The 21643-nt window shown below is 46.9% G+C and overlaps 1 protein-coding gene across 2 annotated transcripts in view; it reads left to right on the forward strand.

The window, feature by feature from the left end:
* GPR173 (G protein-coupled receptor 173) overlaps nt 1008–21643 on the forward strand; it is a 31827-nt gene continuing 11191 nt past the window's right edge. For both annotated transcript variants that reach the window (XM_047442184.1, NM_018969.6), the window contains exon 1: nt 1008–1703. The gene's annotated coding sequence lies outside the window, so the exon portion shown is untranslated. The remainder of the gene's footprint in view (nt 1704–21643) is intronic.

Raw genomic sequence — 21643 nt, forward strand, 5'->3', positions numbered from 1 at the left:
TTTAATCATATTTGAAACAAATATTTTTTTCCTTGTCTTCATATCTCTGCCTACCAAGCGTTCTCCTCACCTCTCCTATTCTGTTGTCCTGGGACATGGCTTTAAGTATGGGTTCTGCCTGTCTGCTGGCCCCGAGAAAGTGGGGATGGCACAGGAGATATCCTGAGAGGGGCTGTTCAGAGTTGGGCAGCGCTCCTTTCCCACCCCAACCCCCCAGCCAACCTCCAGGCCTTGCAGGGAAAATGCCCATAGAACCCCATTCTAAATCAGTTTATGAATCCCACCTCTCCGGGCCCTAAGCATGCCTCCCAGCCCAAAGCTTTTGAGAAACTTTCGCCGGACCTTTGTCCCGACCCAGATCCTAGCGTCCTCTATGCCCTGCCTCCTCTGCACTTGTAGCCCATGTGAGTTGCTCTCTCAGCAGCCTCTTGGCCATCTCTCCCCACCTCCACTCATGCCTCTCTCGAGCATCTCAGAAAGGCCCGAGCCTGACTTCCCCAGCCAGCTATTGTCCTGGCAGCACAGCCGCCACGCCAGCGTCCCCACCCAGTCAGCCAGCCGGCTGCTCCCTGGCCTCGCCAGCACCCCCCGCCCCCCCCCCCGCTCCCCGCCCCGCCCCAGGGAGGACCAGGCTGGCAGCTGGGAGTCTCCCTGCCTGCTCAGCCTTCCTCCTTCCCTCCCTCTCCCTCCCTGCCTCCCTCCTCCTCCGCCCGCCCCTGAGGCAGGGACCGTGCAAATCGAGGAGAGGGGGGACGGACAGGCCTGATGGGGTCCAGCTTAGGGCCCCGGACTCCCCACTGATGCTCTATCCAGGCTGGGTGTCCCCAGCATCGTGGGACCTGGATTTGTGTGCACCGGGGTGGTTCCCAGGCCAGGAGGGTCCCTCTGGCAGGCCCTTGGTGCCCTCGTTTTGCATGAGGACCCCCCTCGGATGCTCTGAGCCACCCTCCTCAACCCGGATCTAAAACCCGGGACACGGCTATCAGGCCAGCCTCTCTCTCCACCCCACCCCCTCTTTCTGGCGTCCATCCCCTCCCCAACACCACCTCTGCTGCTGCCTCTGGCTGTGGACCTGCACCTCTTCCCCATCCCCGCCAGGCCCGGGGAGCGGGGTGAGCCTGGATGAGAGCCCCCCCAACCTGGGGCTCTCCCAGGCCATGGCCCGTGTGCTCCCAGGGAGGAGCCCCGGACCCTGAGCATCTGCTGGAGGCTTGGCAGAGGCCCCGCGGGGACCGTGTCTTCTGAGGACAAAAGGCGGCGGCCAGCAGGCAGACGGAGGGGGGGGGTGGGGGGTGGGGGGGGTAGGGGGACCGGCAGCCAGGCAGGCAGACGGGTAGCAGGGGCCAGCACTGGCCCCCCTCCCAGCTTGGCAGTGGCATGAAGATGGGAGTGGGAGTGTATAGTGGAGGAAGCACCTGCCGGGACCCCCACCTGCCAGCTAGTTGGACACCCCAAGGCTGTGTGCTGCCCACCTGGTGTTCCCCAACACCCCCAGCCCTACCCAGTGCACCCCTCCGGTGCCTGCTTTCCCTGATGCCTGCGATTTAGACCAGCCCGGCTGTATCCACGGCAACAGAAGCAGGAGTGTCACTGGCCGCCAGATCACTGAGGGTCCCACAATGTGGCCCGGGCTGTGATTTACCTGGGTGAGACAGCTTGAGCCCCATCGTGGATTCCAAGACATCCCTGCTGAGAGAGCCAAGGTAAGCAGTCAGCATCCCTCCACCAAGGATGGGGGGCTGGGACTTCTGTTCTGTCTCCCCACACATACTTCAGAGTCTCCATCACTGCCATGCTCTCTGTCTCTGTCTGACTCTGTTAGTCTCTTTCTGCTCCATCAAGGGGCTCCTTGGTACCCAAGCCTGGGGACTCCTCATCTTCCCCCCATCTTCCCCAATCCCAAATGTCCCATGAGAAAGGGAACCACCACCTGTTTCCCCTCACAGGGTCTGTTTTTATCATCATGGTTGCGTTTGGGCATGAGGCTGTGTTAATCTTTCCTTGTGTGCTGGCTGTGGAAGGGATGCCTGGGAGCCCGGCGGCCGTGTTCCCTTCACAATGCCTGCACCCTGGGCAGGCTCAGCCTCTTGCGGCTGCTCCTCTCCCTCTCCCTCCTCCTCCACTCTCCTCCAGGATCCCTGGCCTGCTGGCCGGGTGTGTGTGTGTGTGTGTGTGTGTGTGTGTGTGTGTGTGTGCACCTGGGTAGCAAGCAGGTGGGTAGACATGACAGAGAAGCTGCTCCCAGCCCAGACCATCCCCCACTCCTTCTTTCCTCCTTTCCTTCCTTCCTTCCTTCCACCCTCCCCACCTCCCCATCTCTCCCTACAGGTAGCAGAGTTTTGCTCACTCACCACTGAAGATGTTGCCGATTCCCAGCTAGGGGGAGGAAGTCACTGTAGGGCTAAAGGACAGTGAAGTGGTGGTGGGGAGCACTTCCAGGCCCTAGGCTGCCTGATGGTTCTGTGGGGGCAAAGACCAATCCCATGACAACCTGCAGGGGCCAGGAACAACATGGTTGTCCCTACAGTGTGGGACCCAGCCTCCACCACAAGGCTCTCTGTCTCTGTTTCAGATGTCCATGTTGTGTCTGAGACCCCCCGGATCTTGTGGCCTTGTGCCCAGTAGCCGGAGGTCCATATATCTGGAAGGGCAGGAAAGCCTGGTACATGGAGAACATGGATCCTCCCAGGGACACTTCCCCCAACTACTAGCTCTGCAACTTTAGTGGAAGCATGCCACTTACCGAACCTCAGTTTTCCCATCTGTCAAAGAGACTGGTAACCCTTCCCTGATGGGTGTGTGTAGGGATTGAATGAGTTGGTGCATGTAAGTAAGAGATGTGCATCGAGGTGGCACTGAAGCAATGTCAGCAAAGCTCACAGTCAATATTGTTGCTGATTATTCATGATTAATAGTGTTATCGATTACTTGGAGGAGGGACAGGTCCTTCTTCTCCAGGGTCTCAGCAGAGATCTGGGGAGGGCAGCAAGTGGGCAAATGGAGGGTAGTGGAAGGGAGGCAGGAGAAGCCCTGTGTTAATACTTCTCATTTGTAGAGAATGATAAGTGGTTATGGGCAGAGCCTCCCTCCCCCACCCCACTCCAGTCTTCTTTCCCTGCACTTGTCCCTGTTTGTGCGCACACACACACACAGAACCTTGAGCCCCCATGAGCCAGCAGAGGCCTGGCTTGCAGCCTGCAGCCTTTCTGGCCCTGGTGATGTATGTGTCTCCCTGTTGAGGGGAGACTTGGCAAGAGTTTGGCCTGTGGTCAGTGGTTGGCAGGGCCTGGAGATGAGGCTGAAGCTCCTGAGATCACGGGGCTTCGGGTAGAGCTGGGGTGTGGCCCATGCAGCAGCCAGACCTGTGAGGGACGCGTCCCAGGGAGCTGCTCACCTAGAGCCTGGGGTGGGGGAAGAACGGGGTCTGCTGGCTGATTTCAGGGCATGGAGATGTGATGGGACACAGAGTGTGGGGTCGGTGGCCAAGGGAAGAGGAGGAATGGGGAAAGACTGAGGCCCAGAAGACCATCTCTGTGGGGGCAGGGAGGGGGGCTTTGAGGCATAAAGTAGACTTTTCTGAAGAAGCATTTGGTGTGGGAGAGGACCTGGTCTGTGGTCTGGAGGCCTCTGGGCCCGAGCGTGGTTGTATATATGCTACTGAAAATGTGTGGCTGAGTGTGTAGTCTGTGTGTGCATGTCTGTTCATGGGCAGTGTGGCTGTGTATGAACCTGTGTGTGTAAGCAGGCCGTGTGATGGCATGTGTGTGAGTGTGTGGGTATCTGGGTAGGCTTGTGTGTGTACTGTGGGGTGGGCATGACTTTGCATGTCTGTCTGGGTGATCAAATGGACATGTTTGATTTTGAGCCTGAGTGTGGGTGTGTTTTCTCTGAGCCATCAGGCCTGTTGAATGTCTAGTTGTATATGTGTGTGGCATCAGTTTTTCTTTGAGTGTACGTGTCTGGTTGTATGTGTATGAGTGTGTGGGTTTCAGAATGCCTGGGTGTGCATGCCCAATTAGATGAATGCCTAGTTGTATCTGCTTGTGCATATTGGTGTGTGCTCATGAGTGTAGGTGCATCTAAAGGGTGTGCTTGTGAGTGTTAAGGGCATATATGTGCATGTCCATGCATGTATGAGAGGGTGTATATGTGTGTGTGTATATATGAGTGTATCTGTCCTGCATTTGTGTAAGCAGGCTTTTGACTTTCTGTGAATGTCTGTATGTGGGTTCTCCAGCATTTTAAATTATATAGATGTCCGTGTGTGCATGTTCCAGTGTATATCACCTGTAGACAAACCTTTATGTCCACATCCGATTAGAGAAATGTTAATATAGGTGGGCACACTAATATAAGGAGAACTAATTTTATGGGTAGGGGAGAGTGTGTGAATGAAAATCTATTTTGTGGGTATGCCTACATGTGCACATTTGATTATGTATGTGAGTATGGCTGTGTGTGGGGGTGTATGCCTGTCTGCACACAAAAACACACACACACGCAAAATGCTGTGTGCATAGGTGAAATGATGCATTGTCTATATGTCTAATTGTGTTTGTGTGTACACTGTTATGTGTGAGTACATGTCTGTGGCGTGCATGAGTAGGTACTTGGGTGTGCATGTCTCATTATGTGTTTTGTCTGAATTTCTGAGTATGTGAGTGTGAATGTGTATTTGAATATGCCTGTGATTGTGAGTGTATATGTGGGTGTATATGCTAGTAGGTGTGAACATCTGGCTGTGTGTGTTTCATTGAACATGTCTGTATATGCCTGCCTGTCCATACACATATGTCCACACACATCTGTCCACACACACACGTGTGTGTGTGTGTGTGTGTGTGTGTGTGTGAATATGCCTGTGTGTATGCCTGTACATTCAGACAGGCATACACAGAGGTATATTCATATGTGTGAATGTGCCAGTTTGTACAGTTCTAATTATTTGCATGTATGTGTTTGTGTTTATGCATCTTTGTTCTGGAGCATATGTTGTAGAACACAATGTAAGGTAACGTCCATGCATGTCACTCTCAGCCTACAAGTGTGTTTAAGTGTGTGTGTGTGAGGATGTGTGTGAGGATGTGTGTGTGTCTGTGATGAGTGTGGATCAGTCCTTCTTGTATGGATGTACAGTTGTGTGCATGTGAGTGTACTTCCATGTGTACATGTGTGTGAATATACCTTTGTGTCCAAGTCCATCTGTGAGAATGTAGGTGTAAATGATTCCTCTTTATTGTGTAGCTTCTCATATGGGTGTATGAACTTGTAGGAATGTACATGGTGTACATATCTGGCTGTGATAGTGTGGGCATGTTTTGTGAGTACATTTGTATTTCCATGTCTGAGTGTAAGCATATGGGAATGAATTAATGAACAAGTCTATGTGCATGTGAACATGCCCAGTTGTGTGTACAAGTCTGTGTTAGGAATGTCTGCATATCTATACTTCATGTCATTTACAAGCATGTGCATATCTAGGTGTTTATGTGTGTGAGTGTGTAAATATATGTGGTCATGTCTGGGTGTGTGTGTGCACACATTTGGGAGCTTCCCTGTCTGTGTCCATGTTTGTTCATCATCTCCTTGGGTGTGATACAAAGTCTGTCTGTCTGTGGACATGTGAAGGTATGCCTGTATGTACCCCTGTGTTTGTGAGTGAATGTACGTCATTCATGGGCATTATGTCATGTGAATGTATGTCACGCATGCGTGCCTATGTTTAAGAGTAAATGGATGTACACGTATGACTAAGTACAGTGTGAGTGTGTCCATGTGTAAGGATGAGTGTAGGTATTTGTGCATGTGTCTGTCAGTCGATGTGAGAGAGAGATACTTGGCCTTGGGCCTGTGCGGATTGGGCCTTATTGACAAGGGGATGGAAAGGGAGAATACTTACAAGTCTGTGTACCTCAGTATGTATTTGTGTGTATGACTGAGAGTCAGTGGTGCCCTGCGAGACTATGTCTGTCTGTAAGTGTGTAGACATCCTGCAGATTGGCAAACTATGACACCTGATGCCTGTGACCCCCATTCTGGGGCTTCTCTGGCCTTGACCATGTACTGGGCTTTTGTGGGGGTCTCAGGATAATTCCTGTCATTATTCACACTCAAGAAGTGGGCACCAATCATGGCTGATGTCCTACTGGGGAAAAGAGGCCTATTTAGAAAAAGATTCCTTGAAACACAAAGACCTCCCTTCTCATCCCCCCAACCATCAAAGGCCCAGAGTAGAGTGGCATTGTATGATATCTAGGGTTGGTAAATAGTTTTCACTGAGAGGACCCAAATTATGCCATCCAGGCAGAAATCTAGATGTGAGTGTGTATATATAAAAGTGAAAGTATCTTAATAGAGTGTGTGTGTATGTGTGTGTGTGTGTGTGTAGACTGGTATATCTGGTGAGAGAGAAAGGATGTGGTCTGCATGTGTGTAAGAGAGAGCATGGGCCGGGTGCGGTGGCTCATGCCTGTAATCCCAGCACTTTGGGAGGCCAAGGCGGGTGGATCTCCTAAGGTCAGGAGTTTGAGACCAGCCTGACCAGTATGGTGAAACCCCATCTCTACTAAAAATACAACTGGGCGTGGTGGTGCATGCCTGTAGTCCCAGCTACTTGGGAGGCTGAGACAGGAGAATTGCTTGAACCCAGGAGGTGGAGGTTGCAGTGAGCCCAGATCATGCCACTGCACTCCAGCCTGGGCGACAGAGCGAGACTCCATCTAAAAAAAAAAAAAAGAGAGAGAGAGCACATGGGTGTATGGGTGTTTCTGGGTAGGGTGTGCGTGTGAGGCATTTGGGTGTGTTTGGGATTGGGGGGGTGAGTGTGGTTGTATGTAAAGTGGCCTGTGTGTGTGGAGGATGGTATGAGTGAGAGTTGGGTTGGGGATATGGGTGAGGATGTGTGTATTTGAGGGGTGTGTGAGTATGGGTTTATCTGGATGGTGAGATAGGGTGGGGGATACCTGGGTGGCGTATGTGTTTGCTGGTGTGGCTGTGTCTGTACTGTGTGTGTAAGAGAGTGTGGGTGTTTCCTGGGTGGAGTATGTATATGAGGGAGTATGGGTATATTGGGGTCAGGGAGATCCAAGTGTGGTTATATGTGGATGATATGTCAGTAGGTGAGAGCACAAGTGTATCTAGGCAATGGAAGTGTGTGATAGGGTGTATTGTGATGGTGTGCATGAGAAAGAGAATTTGGGCACATCTGGGTGAGGGTGGGGGTGTATATAATTGGGGGTGTCTATGGAGTGTGTGTATGGGTGGTGTGTGTGAGACAGTATGGATGTATCTGCATTGTGTGTGTGCAGTGTGAGTAGATCTGGCTGATGGTGATTAAGAGAGAATTGGGGGTCGAGATTGTGTTTGTGTGTGAGAGTGGGGGTGTTTCTGAGTGTGGTAGGGGTGTGAGCACGCATGTCTCCTGTGGGAAGAGCATGTATGTGTATCTGGATGAGGTGTGAGAGTTTGGGTTTAACTGGGTTGGAGGAGAGTGTGGATGTATCCAGATGGTGTGTGAAAGAGAAAGTGTGTAGGTACGTTTGGGCTGTGTGTGAGACAGTGTGTGGATGTATTGGGGGTGGAGTGGGTTTGAATGTGGGTGTATCTGGATGGTAGGTGAGTGAGAGCACGGATATATTTGGGTGATGGAGTGTGTAGTAAGGTATGTCTGGATGGCGTGTGGTGAGAGCTTTGGTTGTATCTGGGTGGAGAGTGCAGGCGTATACGTACTTGGGTGTGGATGTGAATGTGTATAACTGGATGGGTTGTGTAAAAGAGAGTTGGGGGCACAGCTGAGTGGGAAGTGTGTGTATGGAGTGTGGGTGCTTGTGGGTGGTGTGGAGGAGATGAGAGCATGGGTGGATCTGGGGAGTGGGGCGTGTGCAGAGGTGCACTGGATGGCATGTGTGAGAGTTGGATATGTCCAGGTGGGTTGTGTGTGGATGTAGTTATACCTGGGTGGTGCATGTGGCTTTGAGTGGATCTCCATGGTCTATATGGGATGAATCTGGATGATGATATATGAGAGGGTGGATGTGTCTGCATGGGGCTGTGAGAGTGGGGCTGTATTTGGAGTGTGCGTGTGCTGTAAGAGTGGGGCTGTATTTGGAGTGTGTGTGTGTGTGTGTGTGTGTGTATGGGTATGAGAATGATGTGTGTGTCTGTGTGTGTGGATGTATTTGGCTTGGGAATTTGTGAGTGTGAGTAATTGGATGGGGTGTGGGTAAGTGTAGTGCCTTTGGAAGGTATGTGTGTCATTGTGGGTGTGTCTTAATACTGTGTGTGAGAGAGAGAGAGATTGTAGGTGTGCCTGGTTCAGGTATGAGGGCTCTGAGTTGGGGTGGGGTACAAGTTTGAATGTATCTGTGTGATGTTTGTGAGAGTGTGGGTGTACTGAATTGGGAGTTTGCATAAGTGTGGAGGGCCTGTGCGTGTAAGTGCATTTGAGATGCGTGTATATGAGAACGGGAGTATTTAGATGGGATTTGTGTGAGAGGGTGTGGGTGTATCAGTGTTGGGTATATGTATGAAAGTAGGTGTATTTGAGGAGAATGTGGGCACATCTGAGTTGGAGTATGTGAGAGCGTGGGGTATATCTAAGACCGCGAAGACCTATAGGATGTGAGCAGGGCTCAGCCTATGTCTGAACGTCTACATGGCTATGAATCAGGATGTGTATATCTAAATAGGATGTGTCATCTCTGGGTGGTGTGAGAGTGTGTGGGTGTGTGTGTGAGTGTGAGTGAATCTGGGGGGTGTGCATGTGGCTGCATCCGGCCACATGTGTGAGTATGTGGCCAGCATGTGAGTATGAGGATAGCATGTGTGAGTATTTGGGTGAGGAATATATCTGAGAATGTGAGTGTATCTGTGTGTGAGTGTGTAGGTGGTATATCTGGAGGTTTTGTGTGTTCAATAATGTGGTTTTTTCTGGGTAGGGTGTGTGATTGTGGGCATGTGTATGAATGTGTATATATTTCCCGGGGCATATATATCTCTGCTGGAATGTCTGTAAATGTGAACGTGTCCATGTTTGTTTATGTATGTGACTAGGTGCGTGTGGCCATTTATACCTTAGTGTATCAGCTGGATTGGGTGTGCACATACTTGTGCTAAAGTGGTATGTATCTGTACTTGTGCATGAGGTGAGTGTATTTCTACATGTAAGTTGGATCTGCAAGGTCTCTGGAGGCAGCCTTTGTGTTCGAATCCTAGTTCTGCCATTTATTAGCTGTATGGCTTTGGGCAAGTCACCTAAGCTCAACAAAGCCCCATTGTCTTATCTGTAAAAGTGGGAGTACTATTACCTATCTCATAGGATGAGGATTGGGTGAGTTATATGAAAAGCACTTAGAGGCTGGACGCGTTGGCTCACGCCTGTAATCTCAGCACTTTGGGAGGCTGAGGCAGGCAGATCACTTGAGGTCAGGAGTTCGAGACCAGCCTGACCAATGTGGTGAAACCCTGTCTCTACTAAAAATACAAAAATTAGCCGGGTATGGTGGCACACGCCTGTAATCCCAGCTACTCGGGAGGCTGAGGCAGGAGAATCACTTGAACCCGGGAGGTGGAGGTTGCAGTGAGCTGAGATCATGCCATTGCACTCCAGCCTAGGCAACAAGAGTGAAACTCCATCTCAAAAAAAAAAAAAAAGAAAGAAAGAAAAAGAAAAAAAGTGGCTGGGCATGGTGGCTCACACCTGTAATCCCAGCACTTTGGGAGCCGAGGTGGGCGGATCACCTGAGTTCGGGAGTTCGAGACCAGCCTGACCAACATGGAGAAACCCCATCTCTACTAAAAAAAAAAAAAAACCACACACACAAAATTAGCCAGGCGTGGTGGCGCATGCCTGTAATACCAGCTACTCAGGAAGCTGAGGCAGGAGTGTCACTTGAACCCGGGAGGTGGAGGTTGCAGTGAGCTGAGATCGTGCCATTGCACTCCAGCCTGGGCAACAAGAGTGAAACTCCGTCTCAAAAAAGAGAAAAAGAAAAGAAAAGAAAAAGAAACAGAAGGAAAAGAAAGAAAGAGAAAAGAAAAGAAAAGCACTTCAAACAGTGCCTGGCATGTAATGAGTCCTCTGCACCATATAAGCCATTACGTACTACCATAATTATTAGCCATGCCAGTGTGTAATAGTATGTGTCCATCTGCAAGTGTGAATGGGGTTTCTATGTGCATATTTGCCCTGTTATCTGTATCTATACGTCTGTGTGACAGAATGAGCATATCCTATGTGTATCTATGTTTGTACATGAAAGTGGGTTTGTACTTCTGTGTATCCCAGTGTGCATATAAAACCACGAGCATGTGAGAAAGGAAGCATGTGTCCCGGGCGTGAATGGAGGGGGTTGGCCCCGTGTGTATATTTACCAGTGCACACACATCTGGGTGTATGAGTGCACATGCCTGTATCTGTGGTAGTGTAATGTCTGTGAGTGTGGGTGTGACCTGCACTGCTGGTGTGTCTGCACATGTGAGCATGCTTCTATCTGGGTGTGTGCATGCCAGTGTATTTTTATCTGCCTATGTAAACAGGTTTGTAGGGGTCAATATGTAAACGTATGTATGTGAATCTCTGTTGTGAGAGCCTATAAATGTCAAAAGGTTGGTATCCAGGTTTATATGCGATGATCCAGGTGCACGTGTGTGTGTGTGTGTGTGTGTGTGTGTGTGTGTGTATGTAAAGGGCTAGTGTGCATCTGAGGGTCTCTCTGTATTTATAAACCTCAGTGGCTATGTGGGTGTGTATGATTGAGTCTGCATTGCTCTACATGCCTGCTTGCCTTTGTGTGTGTGTAGCAGTGAGGCTGAGCCATGTGCTTGTATGCGTGAGCAGGTCTGTACTATGTGTATATGGATGTGTTCCAGGGCAGATTTGTGAGAGTGGCTTTGTATAATAATAGAGTGGGTTTTAATCTCTTAGTGTAAGAACCAGTGGGGTGGGGCACGGGAGGGCCTGGATCTATATAGGATGTGAGCAGGACTTGACCTATGTCTTCTTATGTCTGCGCATGTAACACTGTATCTGTAAGTGTGTAGGTTCATGTAGTTTGGTTCATATGTATGTATGTATGTAAGTGCCTATGTAAATGGCGAACGCATTTCGCCTAGACCTGTATTCCTTTTTTTTTTTTCGTAGAAGAAAGACTATTAAGAAGGCTTTGAAGTTAAAAAATAAAACTCTAGGCCGAGCGCGGTGGCTGACGCCTGTAATCCCAGCACTTTGGGAGGCCGAGGCGGGCGGATCACGAGGTCAGGAGATCAAGACCATCCTGGCTAACATGGTGAAACCCCGTCTCTACTAAAAATACAACAAATTAGCCGGGCGTGGTGGCAGGCGCCTGTAGTCCCAGCTACTCGGGAGGCTAAGGCAGGAGAATGGCGTGAACCTGGGAGGCAGAGCTTGCAGTGAGCTGAGATCGCGCAACTGCACTCCAGCCTGGGCAACAGAGCAAGACTCCGTCTCAAAAAATAAAAAATAAAATAAAATAAAATAAAAATAAAACTCTCAATACAATTTTTGTGTGTGACACAGGGTCTCACTCTGTCGCCCAGGCTGGAGTGCAGTGGCCCGGTCTCAGCTCACTGCAACCTCCGCCTCCATGCCGGGCTAATTTTTGTTAAATACAATTTTTTAACCTTAAATCAGCTCAACAAATATATAATCAGCAATTTAGCTGTATAAGATTAAAGATCCATTACTTTATCTTAAATAAAATATGTTTTAGGCCAGGTGTGGTGACTCACACCTGTAATCCTAGCACTTTGGGAGGTCAAGGTGGGCGGATTGCTTGAGCCCAGGAGTTTGAGACCAGCCTGAGCAACATGGCGAAACCCCACCTCTACAAAAAATATAAAAATTAGCCAGGTGTAGTGGTGTGCACCTATAGTCCCAGCTACTCAGGAGGCTGAGGTGGGAGGATCACTGGAGCCCAGGAGTTCGAGGCTGCAGTGAGCCATGATCATGGCACTATAATCCAGCCTGGGTGACAGAGTGAGACCATGTCTCAAAAAAAAAAAAAAAACCCAGAACCTGTCTCTACAAAAAATAGAAAAATTAGCCGGGCATGGTGGCACATGCCTGTAGTCCCAGCGACTTGGGAGGCTGAGGTGAGAGGATCCCTTGAGCCCGGAGTTCAAGGCTGCAGAGAACCAAGATCTCGCCATCGCACTCCAGCCTGGGCGACAGAGCGAGACCCTGTCTCAAAAAAAAAACAAAACAAAGTGTATATTATATATATATATATATACACACACACACATACACACACGCACACACACATATATATATATAGTTCTTAAAATTTATTCCATAAAGTACACATTTCCCTGTAAACTCTCTACATATACACAAGAGGTAAAAAGTGAAACAAAAAAATTTTTTGAGACACAGCCTTGCTCTTGTCGCCCAGGCTGGAGTGCAGCGGCACCATCTTACCTCACTGCAACCTCTGCCTCCCGGGTTCAAGCGATTCTCGTGCCTCAACCAAAAAAAAATTTAATTAAAAAAATGACGGCCGGTCGCAGTGGCTCATGCCTGTAATCCTAGCACTTTGGGAGGCCGAGGCGGGTGAATCACCTGAGGCCAGGAGTTCGAGATCAGCCTGGCCAACATGGAGAAATCCCGTCTCTACTAAAAATACAAAAATTAGCCAGGCATGGTGGCGGGTGCCTGTAATCCCAGCTACTCGGGAGGCTGAGGTAGGAGAATTTCTTGAACCCAGGAGGCAGAGGATGCAGTGAGCCAAGGTCGCACCATTGCAATCCAGCCTGAGCAACAAGAGCGAGACTCCGTCTCAAAAAAAAAAAAAAAAGACAACAGAAACCACAGTGGGAAGGGGATTAATTATTAACAAAAAGTTAGAAATTTCTTGTTGGGGCACCCCTACAGCCCTTCACCCCTGCCCCGCGCCCCTTACCCGTCTCTGGTTGTGCATAGCTGATGTACAAAATGGTATACGGTTAGCCTCAAAAAGGGAGTAAAAATGTCACCATCCTCCTCTGGAAGTGTCTGTACATTCTGAGACTGTAGGCCTGTATTTCTATAGAAAGGCAGTTATACAGGCCTGTATTTCTATAGAAAGGCAGTTATACAGGCCTGTATTTCTATAGAAAGGCAGTTATACAGGCCTACAGTCTCAGACTGTACAGACACTTCCAGAGGAGGATGGTGACATTTTTACTCCCTTTTTGAGGCTAACTGTATACCATTTTGTACATCAGGTCAGGAGATCGAGACCATCCTGGCTAACATGGTGAAACCCTGTCTCTACTAAAAAACACAACAAAAATTAGCCGGGCGTGATGGCAGGTGCCTGTAGTCCCAGCTACTGGGGAGGCTGAGGCAGGAGAATGGCGTGGACCCAGGAGGCAGAGTTTGTAGTGAGCCGAGATTGCGCCACTGCACTCCAGCCTGGGTGACAGAGCGAGACTCCATCTCAAAAAAAAAAAAAGAAAGAAAGGCAGTTATATAGTTATATCTGTATATTGTATGCGTGTGTATCTTTGAGCTATTTGCTGGTGTGTGGGTATCTACATGCATGCCTAGCTGCTTCTGTGCAGTTAACGGGGAATGTTTGTGTGTCTGTATATGAGTGTCTCATTGTGCTTATCGGCTGGTCTGAATGTGAGTGCAAATTTGAATTTCCATGTACACATGTCCCCGTGTGCACATATCTGTCTGTATGTGCTAGTGTTTCTATGTAATGTGACTAGATGTAAATGTGTTAGGGCATTCACAACCTGGGACACAGAGAAAGTGAAATATTTTATGGCACACTGGAGTAAACTGAAGAGGGTTAGGGGTACTAGAGTTGAGTGAAAAGGAATTTCTTACATTTTCCTCATATTATACAATTATGGGAAGAAAATTAAAATGCAGAATTTTAGGGGAGTTATTAAATATTGAATTTGTGTACAACTTTCAAATGAAATCTTTTCAGTTTTTTATGACACACTTGAGCTCACTTCTAGAAACATGTCTTAGTCTGTTTTGTGCTGCTCTAACAGAATACTTGAGACTGGGTAATTTTTAACAAGCAGAGATTTCTTTCTTACAGTTCTGGAGGCTAGGAAGTCCAAGGTTGAGGGGCATGCATCTAGCAAGGGCCTCCTTCCTGCGTCATCCCATAGTGAAGGGCAGAAAGGCAAGAGAACACGCTTTTGCATGAGAGAGAGAAAGAGAGAGAAGAGAAGGGAAGGGAAGAGAAAGAAGAGAAGAGAAGAGAAGAGAAGAGAAGAAAAGGGAGCCAAACTCATCTATTTATCAGGAACCCTTCTTATGATAGAAACCCACTCCCATGAAAACAGGATTAATCTGTTTATGAGGACAGAGTCCTCATTACCTCATCACTTCTTAAAGGTCTCACTTCTCAGTACTGCTGCATTGGGGATTAGGTTTCCAACACATGAACTTCGGAGGACACATTCAAGCCGTAGCATTCTTCCTTGACTCCCAAAATCCATGTCCTTCTCATGTCTAAAATAGATTAATTCCATCCCAATAGCCCCAAAGTCTTGACTCGTTCCAGCACCAACTCAAAATTCCAAAGTCCAGAGTCCCATTTGAATCAGACAGGAGAGACTCCAGGTGCAATTCATCCTGAGGCAAATTTCTCTCCAGATGTTAGCCTATGAAAATAGCAAATTACTTTCTTCCAAAATACAATGGTGGGACAGGCATAGGATAGACATTCCCATTCCAAAAGGGAGAAATAAGCAAGAAGAAAGGGGTAACTGGTCCCAAGTAAGTCCAAAATCCAACAGAAAAAAAAAAAACATTGTCTTCTTCTTTTTTTTTTTTTTTTTTTTTTTTTTGAGTTAAGGTCTCCCTCTCTGTCACCCAGGCTGGAGTACAGTGATGGGATCACAGTGTCACAGCTCACTGCAGCTTCAACCTCCTGGGCTCAAGCGATCCTCTCACCTCAGCTCCCCGAGTTTTTGTAGAGATGGGATTTGGCCATGTTGCCCAGGCTGGTCTTGAACTCCTGGGCTCAAGCGATCCACCCACCTCAGCCTCTCGAACTGCTGGGATTACCGTGCCCAGCCAACATTAAGTCTTAAAGCTGGAGAATGATCTTTGACTCTGCGTCCTGCATCTTGGGCACACTAGAGCTGGGCTGGGCCCCCAAGGTCTTGAGCAGCCCTGCCCCTATGGCTTTGCTGGGCTCAGTCCACCCAGCAGCTCTCATGGGTTGAAGTCTCATGCCTCCAGCCTTCGCAGGCTGGAGTTGCACATTCGTGGTCCTGTAGTTCTGTGGTCTTGGGACAGCCCCACTCCCACAGTTCCACTAAGTGTTGCCTTAGTGGGAGCCCTCTGCAGTGGCTCCATCCCTATGACAAGTCTCTGCTTGGTTCCCCAGGCTGTCCATGAAATTCTTTGAAATCTAGACAAAGGAAGCCATGGTTCCACAACTCGTGCATTCTGTGTGCCTACAGAATTAGCACCATGTGGACACCATCAAGGTTTACAGGTTATACTTTCTGGAGCAGCAAGTCGAGCTGCACTTGGGCCTGCTTGAGCCACAGCAGGGGCAGCCAAGGGGTACTGCTCCAGAATTGAAGGAGCAGAGTCCCAAGGTGGCACAGGGCAGCAAATGCTCAAGTCCTAGGGGTACCTCTCTAGAAACCTTGCCCTCAAGATCCTAGCTTGCCTCAAAGGCCTCTGAATAGAATCTGGCTTCCTTCTACCCATATTAGTCTCTTTAGCAGTCTCTTGGTCACACCCTTAGTATTCTCTCCCCAACATGCTTTTGTATTTTTTACATGGTCAAGCTGAGAGTTTTCCAAATCTTTCTGTTCTGCTTCTCTTTTAATTATAAATTCTGTCTTTAAATCGTTTTTCTCTCATTTTGCTGTACATAGCCAAAAGTAGTCATGTGGCATCTCAAACATTTTGCTGCTTAGATATTTTTTCTGCTATATATGCTAGTTTATGACTCTTAAATTCTGCCTTCCACTAAGTCCTAGGACATGAACACGATTCTGCCAAATCTTTGCACGCATATAACAAAGGTGGCTTTTATTCCAGTTTCCAATACCTTATTTCTCATTTCCATCGGAGACCTCATCAAAATGGCCTTTACCATCCATATTTCTGATCATGGGATTAGAAACAAAGCTAAGGAGCCTAAATCTCCTTAGGGATTACTTAAGTGGTCATGATCAGAACCACTTGGCAATTACATTTTTAACACATGAAATCAGAACTGATCATGGCCACTTAAGTAATCCCTAAGGAGGTTTAGGCTCTCCCTATAGCACTTGTCTTCTTCTGAGGCCTCACACAAAATCACCCTTAACCCTCTATTTATGGCTTTACAGGCTTTTTCTAGCCTGCTCCTCCATATTCTTTCAACCTCTACCCATTACCCAGTTCCAAAGCCACTTCCACATTTTCAGGCATTATAGCAACAACCCCATTCTTGGCACCAATCTTCTTAGTCCATTTCGCGCTACTATAACAATATTTGAGACTGGGTAATTTGTAAAGAACAGAGATTTTAGGCTAGGCGCAGTGGCTCACACATGTAATCCCAGCGCTTTGGTAGGCCAAGGCGGGAGGATTGCTTGAGGTCAGGAGTTCAAGACTAGCCTGGCCAACATGGTGAAACTGCATCTCTACTAAAAATACAAAAATTAGCTGGGCATCCTGGTGGCAGGCCCCTGTAGTCCCAGCTACTTGGGAGGCTGAGGCACAAAAATCACTTGAAACCGGGAGGCAGAGGTTGCAGCAAGCCTAGATCATGCCACTGCACTCCAGCCTGGGTGACAGAGCAAGACTCTGTCTCAAAAAAAAAAAGGAACAGAGATTTTATTTTATTTCTTATCATTCTGGAGGCTGGGCTGTCCAAGATCATGTGGCTACATCTGGTGAGAGCCTTCTTGCTGCATCATCCCATGGTGGAAGGCAAAAGGGCAAGAGAGCATGTGCACGTGACAAAGAGAGAAGGGAAGTGGGTAGAACTCATCCTTTTATCAGGAACCCGTTTCTGTGATAACCAACCCACTCCTGTGATAACAGCATTAATCCATTTATGAGGGAAGAGTCCTCATAACCTCATTACCTCTTAAAGGTCCCACCTGTCAACACTGTTGCATTGGGGATTAAGTTTTTAACACATGAACTTTAGGGGACACATTCAAACCATAGCAGACCATAACTTTTAAATTCACTAATGTGAATTTGTAGTGGTCAACATCCATGCCCACTTCTGATCAAGTCATAAGTGGTTTGATTTATTTTATGGTCCTTTGATTCATTTATGGTCATTTTAATCTTGACTTGGCAAATCCACTGGTGCTGAGCATAGATCTTCTACATCAAGTTATTGTGTTTCTTGGTAAAAGCTCAAACAAAGGAAATGAAGTAAATAACAATTGGTAGTTTTGACACAGATATAAACTTCTATTGTGGCCTGCCAGTTTTTGATCTTGGAAAGCATGTTGTTGAAGGTAAGACACATTCCATGGAGATTGCTCACACACAACCCAATGTTTGACCTAATGCCCTCAGTAATTAGCTTGAATGTATGAAATGTAGCTGCATGATTCTACAGGTCAGCAGAGCTGACCTCAAAAACACAAGCTTTGGGGTCATCAGATAACATTTTGGTTTCTCAGAAGCATCAGGTGCAGTTACTAGTGTTGAGTATGGCTGGTGCTTTCACACCATACCCACCTTTCTTAAGAAATGGAACAACTGCTTATTCGTGCCTTCCTTTTCCACCTCCCTTTTATAATTCTCTTGTTCTTGTCATGGCCAGGCAGAGACTAAGGTTTTGTGCTTGAAATAGCTGCGTGATCTTTTCTATCTTTTGGTAGTCACCATCAACAGGAAATTGCTAGCCTAAGTAAGTTGCAGCAAATGGTCAAAGAGTATTTTTTAGTGGGTTAAAACTCGTTTCTCGACAAATATTCAGAATTTGGATAATTTGTAGTGTTTGAATTTTGTGCTTCAAAGGGAGGATTCTTTTTTAAATGTAGCATCTCTTTCTTTTCTTTCAATCAAATATGAAATTTCTTGTAACAAATGCAGGCCAGGTGCGGTGGCTCATGCCTGTAATACCAGCACTTTGGGAAGCTGAGGTGGGAGGATTGCTTGAGCCCAGGAGTTTGAGACCAACCTGGGCAACGTGACGAAACCCTGTCTCTACCAAAAATACAAAAATTAGCCGGGCATGGTGGCGCGTGCCTGTGATCCCAGCTATTCAGGAGGCTGAGGTGGGAGGATTGCTTGAGCCTGGGAGGTTGAGGCTGCAGTGAGCCATGATCACCTCACTGCACTCCAGCCTGGGTGACAGAGTGAGACCCTGTTTCCAAAATAAATAAATAAATAAATGCTCACAAATTGAATGCAACAGAAAATTTTCATTTTGTGTATCTTAAAATAATGATGAAGCTTTTCCCCTAAGTGAATGCAGACATTGCTCTACTTACCCTAATAAGTCTTCTTTAGTATTCAAATTGCAACACCAAGTAAACATCACCCAGGGAACCATACTTGACTTCACATTTCCTAAGTTGAAGTTTTGCTTCGAATCCATAAACTCTGTCAGTAGTCTTCACGCTATTCTTTAGTGTCTTTAACATTTTTTATGTAACTTTATTCGTGTGCAAAAAAAGCCATTTGTTGAAGCCAGTAAACATAAAATCTGTGCCTGAGCTCAGAAGTTCGAAATCAGCCTGGGCAACATGGTAAAACCCCGTCTCTACTAAAAATACAAAAAAAAGAAAAATTAGCTGGGCATGGCAGTGTGCGCCTGTAGTCCCAGCTACTTGGGAGGCAGAGGCAGGAGAATCGCTTGAACCCAGGAGGCGGAGGTTGCAGTGAGCTGAGATTGCACTACTGCACTCCAGCCTGGGCAACAGCGAGACTCAAAAAAAAAAAATCTGAAAAATGAGAAGCATTCACAAAGAAATGTTGCCATGTTTCTTTTACCTCATTATTATTATTATTACTATTATTTTTACCAAATCTCTACACATTTGGGTTTAAAACAACACGGAAGGGTGTACTGATCCCAGTTCCTTACAGAAAGCTGAAAGGCAGGTGGGAAATGTCTTGGATTTAATTACATTCATCTGGCATAATTTACTGTGGAAATGAGACCTATAGACAAACTTACAGGTGAGGGCTCCTCAGTAAATGAATCTCAGAGTTTTCCAAACAAACTGCTGTTGTAAACAGCAGCATCTGTCCACAGACTTATGGAGTTTCCACAGTATTTCAAAGTATTCATGTATCACTTTGAATATTTCAAACTTAGTTTATGTTGGTGCTTCTTGTACTTCTCTTCAAGTTTCTAACTAGTACTGTAAACTATGCAATGTCAACACCCATAGATGCATGGGTAGAAAATGAAAACCTTTCTGATTGAACATCTAAGTTAGTGTCATCTCAATGCCCTTTGACCTGTCACCAGTGTATCTCCTAACAGCAATAATTGAACATGGCCCCTTTCCTATTCCCTTTACCTCATTGGTCTTAAAAATAGTGTACACAATTTCCCTGCACACCGCTAACCTGTGAGATTCTACTGGGAGGGGCATCTTAGCTTTACTTGTTAATCATACAACCCTGTCACTAGCCGGTTGAGCTCCAGCTAAAAATATTCTAACCCATCTCATAAAAGATCCCAGTTTCTCAATTTGCACTGCCAGATGCTTTAAAAATTCCAAATCTTTCTATTGAAGGGGTCAGCAGACCTCTGTGAGTTCTGAAAACTGATTTTTCTCTGCATTCTTAAGAAAGCAACACTCTGGCGGGGCGCGGTGGCTCACGCCTGTAATCCCAGCACTTTGGGAGGTCGAGGCGGGCGGATCACGAGGTCAGGAGATCAAGACCATCCTGGCTAACACAGTGAAACCCCGTCTCTACTAAAATACAAAAAATTAGCCGGGCATGGTGGCAGGTGCCTGTAGTCCCAGCTACTCGGGAGGCTGAGGCAGGAGAATGGCGTGAACCTGGGAGGCAGAGCTTGCAGTGAGCCGAGATCGTGCCACTGCACTCCCGCCTGGGCGACAGAGCGAGACTCCATCTCAAAAAAAAAAAAAAAAAGAAAGCAGCACTCTGAAACAAAGTCATAAAGCAACTCAATTAAACTATTGTTGGGCTTCATTCATTTATTGACAAATATTTTTATGTAAAAACAAAAGATAGTAAGTATGAAATCCCACCAGGAATCAGATTTGGTTAATTTTTAGTATCAAATACCAATCACAAGTAAATCAATCAATAAACCAAGAAATGATAAAAATGATATTGTCGTAATATTTTTAAAAGAGTCTTGACCTTTTAGGAGTAGATACTGAAATACTTAAGGATGAAATGATATAACAGATATGCTTCAGAATACTGGGAGTGAGGGAAGTGGGTAGGGTTATAGGCAGAATGAGACTAGCTATGAGTTGGTAATTGGTAAGTCTGGGCAATGGATCCACTGAGATTCATTACAGTATTCTCTTTACTTTTTAATGTTTGAAATACTCTATAATAAAACTTTTTTATAAAAAAGTAACAATCAGAAAAATAAAATAATACTGTTCTCTTTAGAAACACCTAATACTATACTATATAATAGTCCACATAGCAACAATCATACAATGCTTCTATTTTTTCTCTGTTTCTTGGTGATAAGACAGCCCTCCTATTTTTGTAGAAGAAAGAAACTTGAGGAAAAATAAGAAGAAAATCAAATTAAAAGAAAAATAGGCGGGGTGCAATAGTTCATGCCTGTAATCCCAAGACTTTGGGAGGCTGAGGCAGGAGGACTTCTTGAGCCCAAGAATTTGAGACTAGCCTGGGCAACATAGTGAGACTGCATCTCTACCAAAAAAAAACCTTAAAAAATTAGCCAGGCATGGTGGCACATCCCTGTAGTCCCAGCTACTCTGAAGGCTGAGGTAGGAGGATTGCTTGAGCCTAGGAGGTTGAGGTTCATGCCACTGCACTCCAGCCTGGGTAACAGAGCGAGACCCTGTATAAATAAATAAATAAATAAATAAATATTTTTCATAAATGAAGGCTAGGCGTGATGGCTCAGGCTTGTAATCCCAGCATCTTCGGGGCCTGAGGCAGAAGGATTGTTCGAGCTCAGGAGTTTGAGGCTGCAGTGAGCTATGATTACACCACCGCACTCCAGCCTGGGTGACTGAGCGAGACCTTGTCTCTTTTTTTTTTTTTTTTTTTTTGAGACAGAGTCTCACTCTGTCACCCAAGCTGGAGTGCAGTGGCATGATCTCAGCTCACTCACTGCAATCTCCACCTCTCAGGTTCAAGCGAGTCTCCTGCCTCAGCCTCCGGAGTAGCTGGGATTACAGGCATGCACCACTACGCCCAGCTAATTTTTGTATTTTTACTAGAGACAGGGTTTCACCATGTTAGCCGGGCTGGTCTCCAACTCCTGGCCTCAAGTGATCATCCCGCCTCAGCCTCCCACAGTGTTAGGATTACAGGCGTGAGCCACCGTGCCCAGCCGACCTTTTCTCTTAAAAAAAAAAAAAAACAGAAAAGAAAACAAAAACAAACATTGTCCACATAGGTATAGGCCAAACTCCAAAACCTCACTGATGATAAACTAGCAAAGTAATAATCATACTATCTGGAATGTTTCAACGGGAAGTGATGAAAACAGTTACCACC

Source organism: Homo sapiens, chromosome X, assembly GCF_000001405.40.
Source record: "Homo sapiens chromosome X, GRCh38.p14 Primary Assembly".
In the NCBI taxonomy this organism is placed as follows: domain Eukaryota; kingdom Metazoa; phylum Chordata; class Mammalia; order Primates; family Hominidae; genus Homo; species Homo sapiens.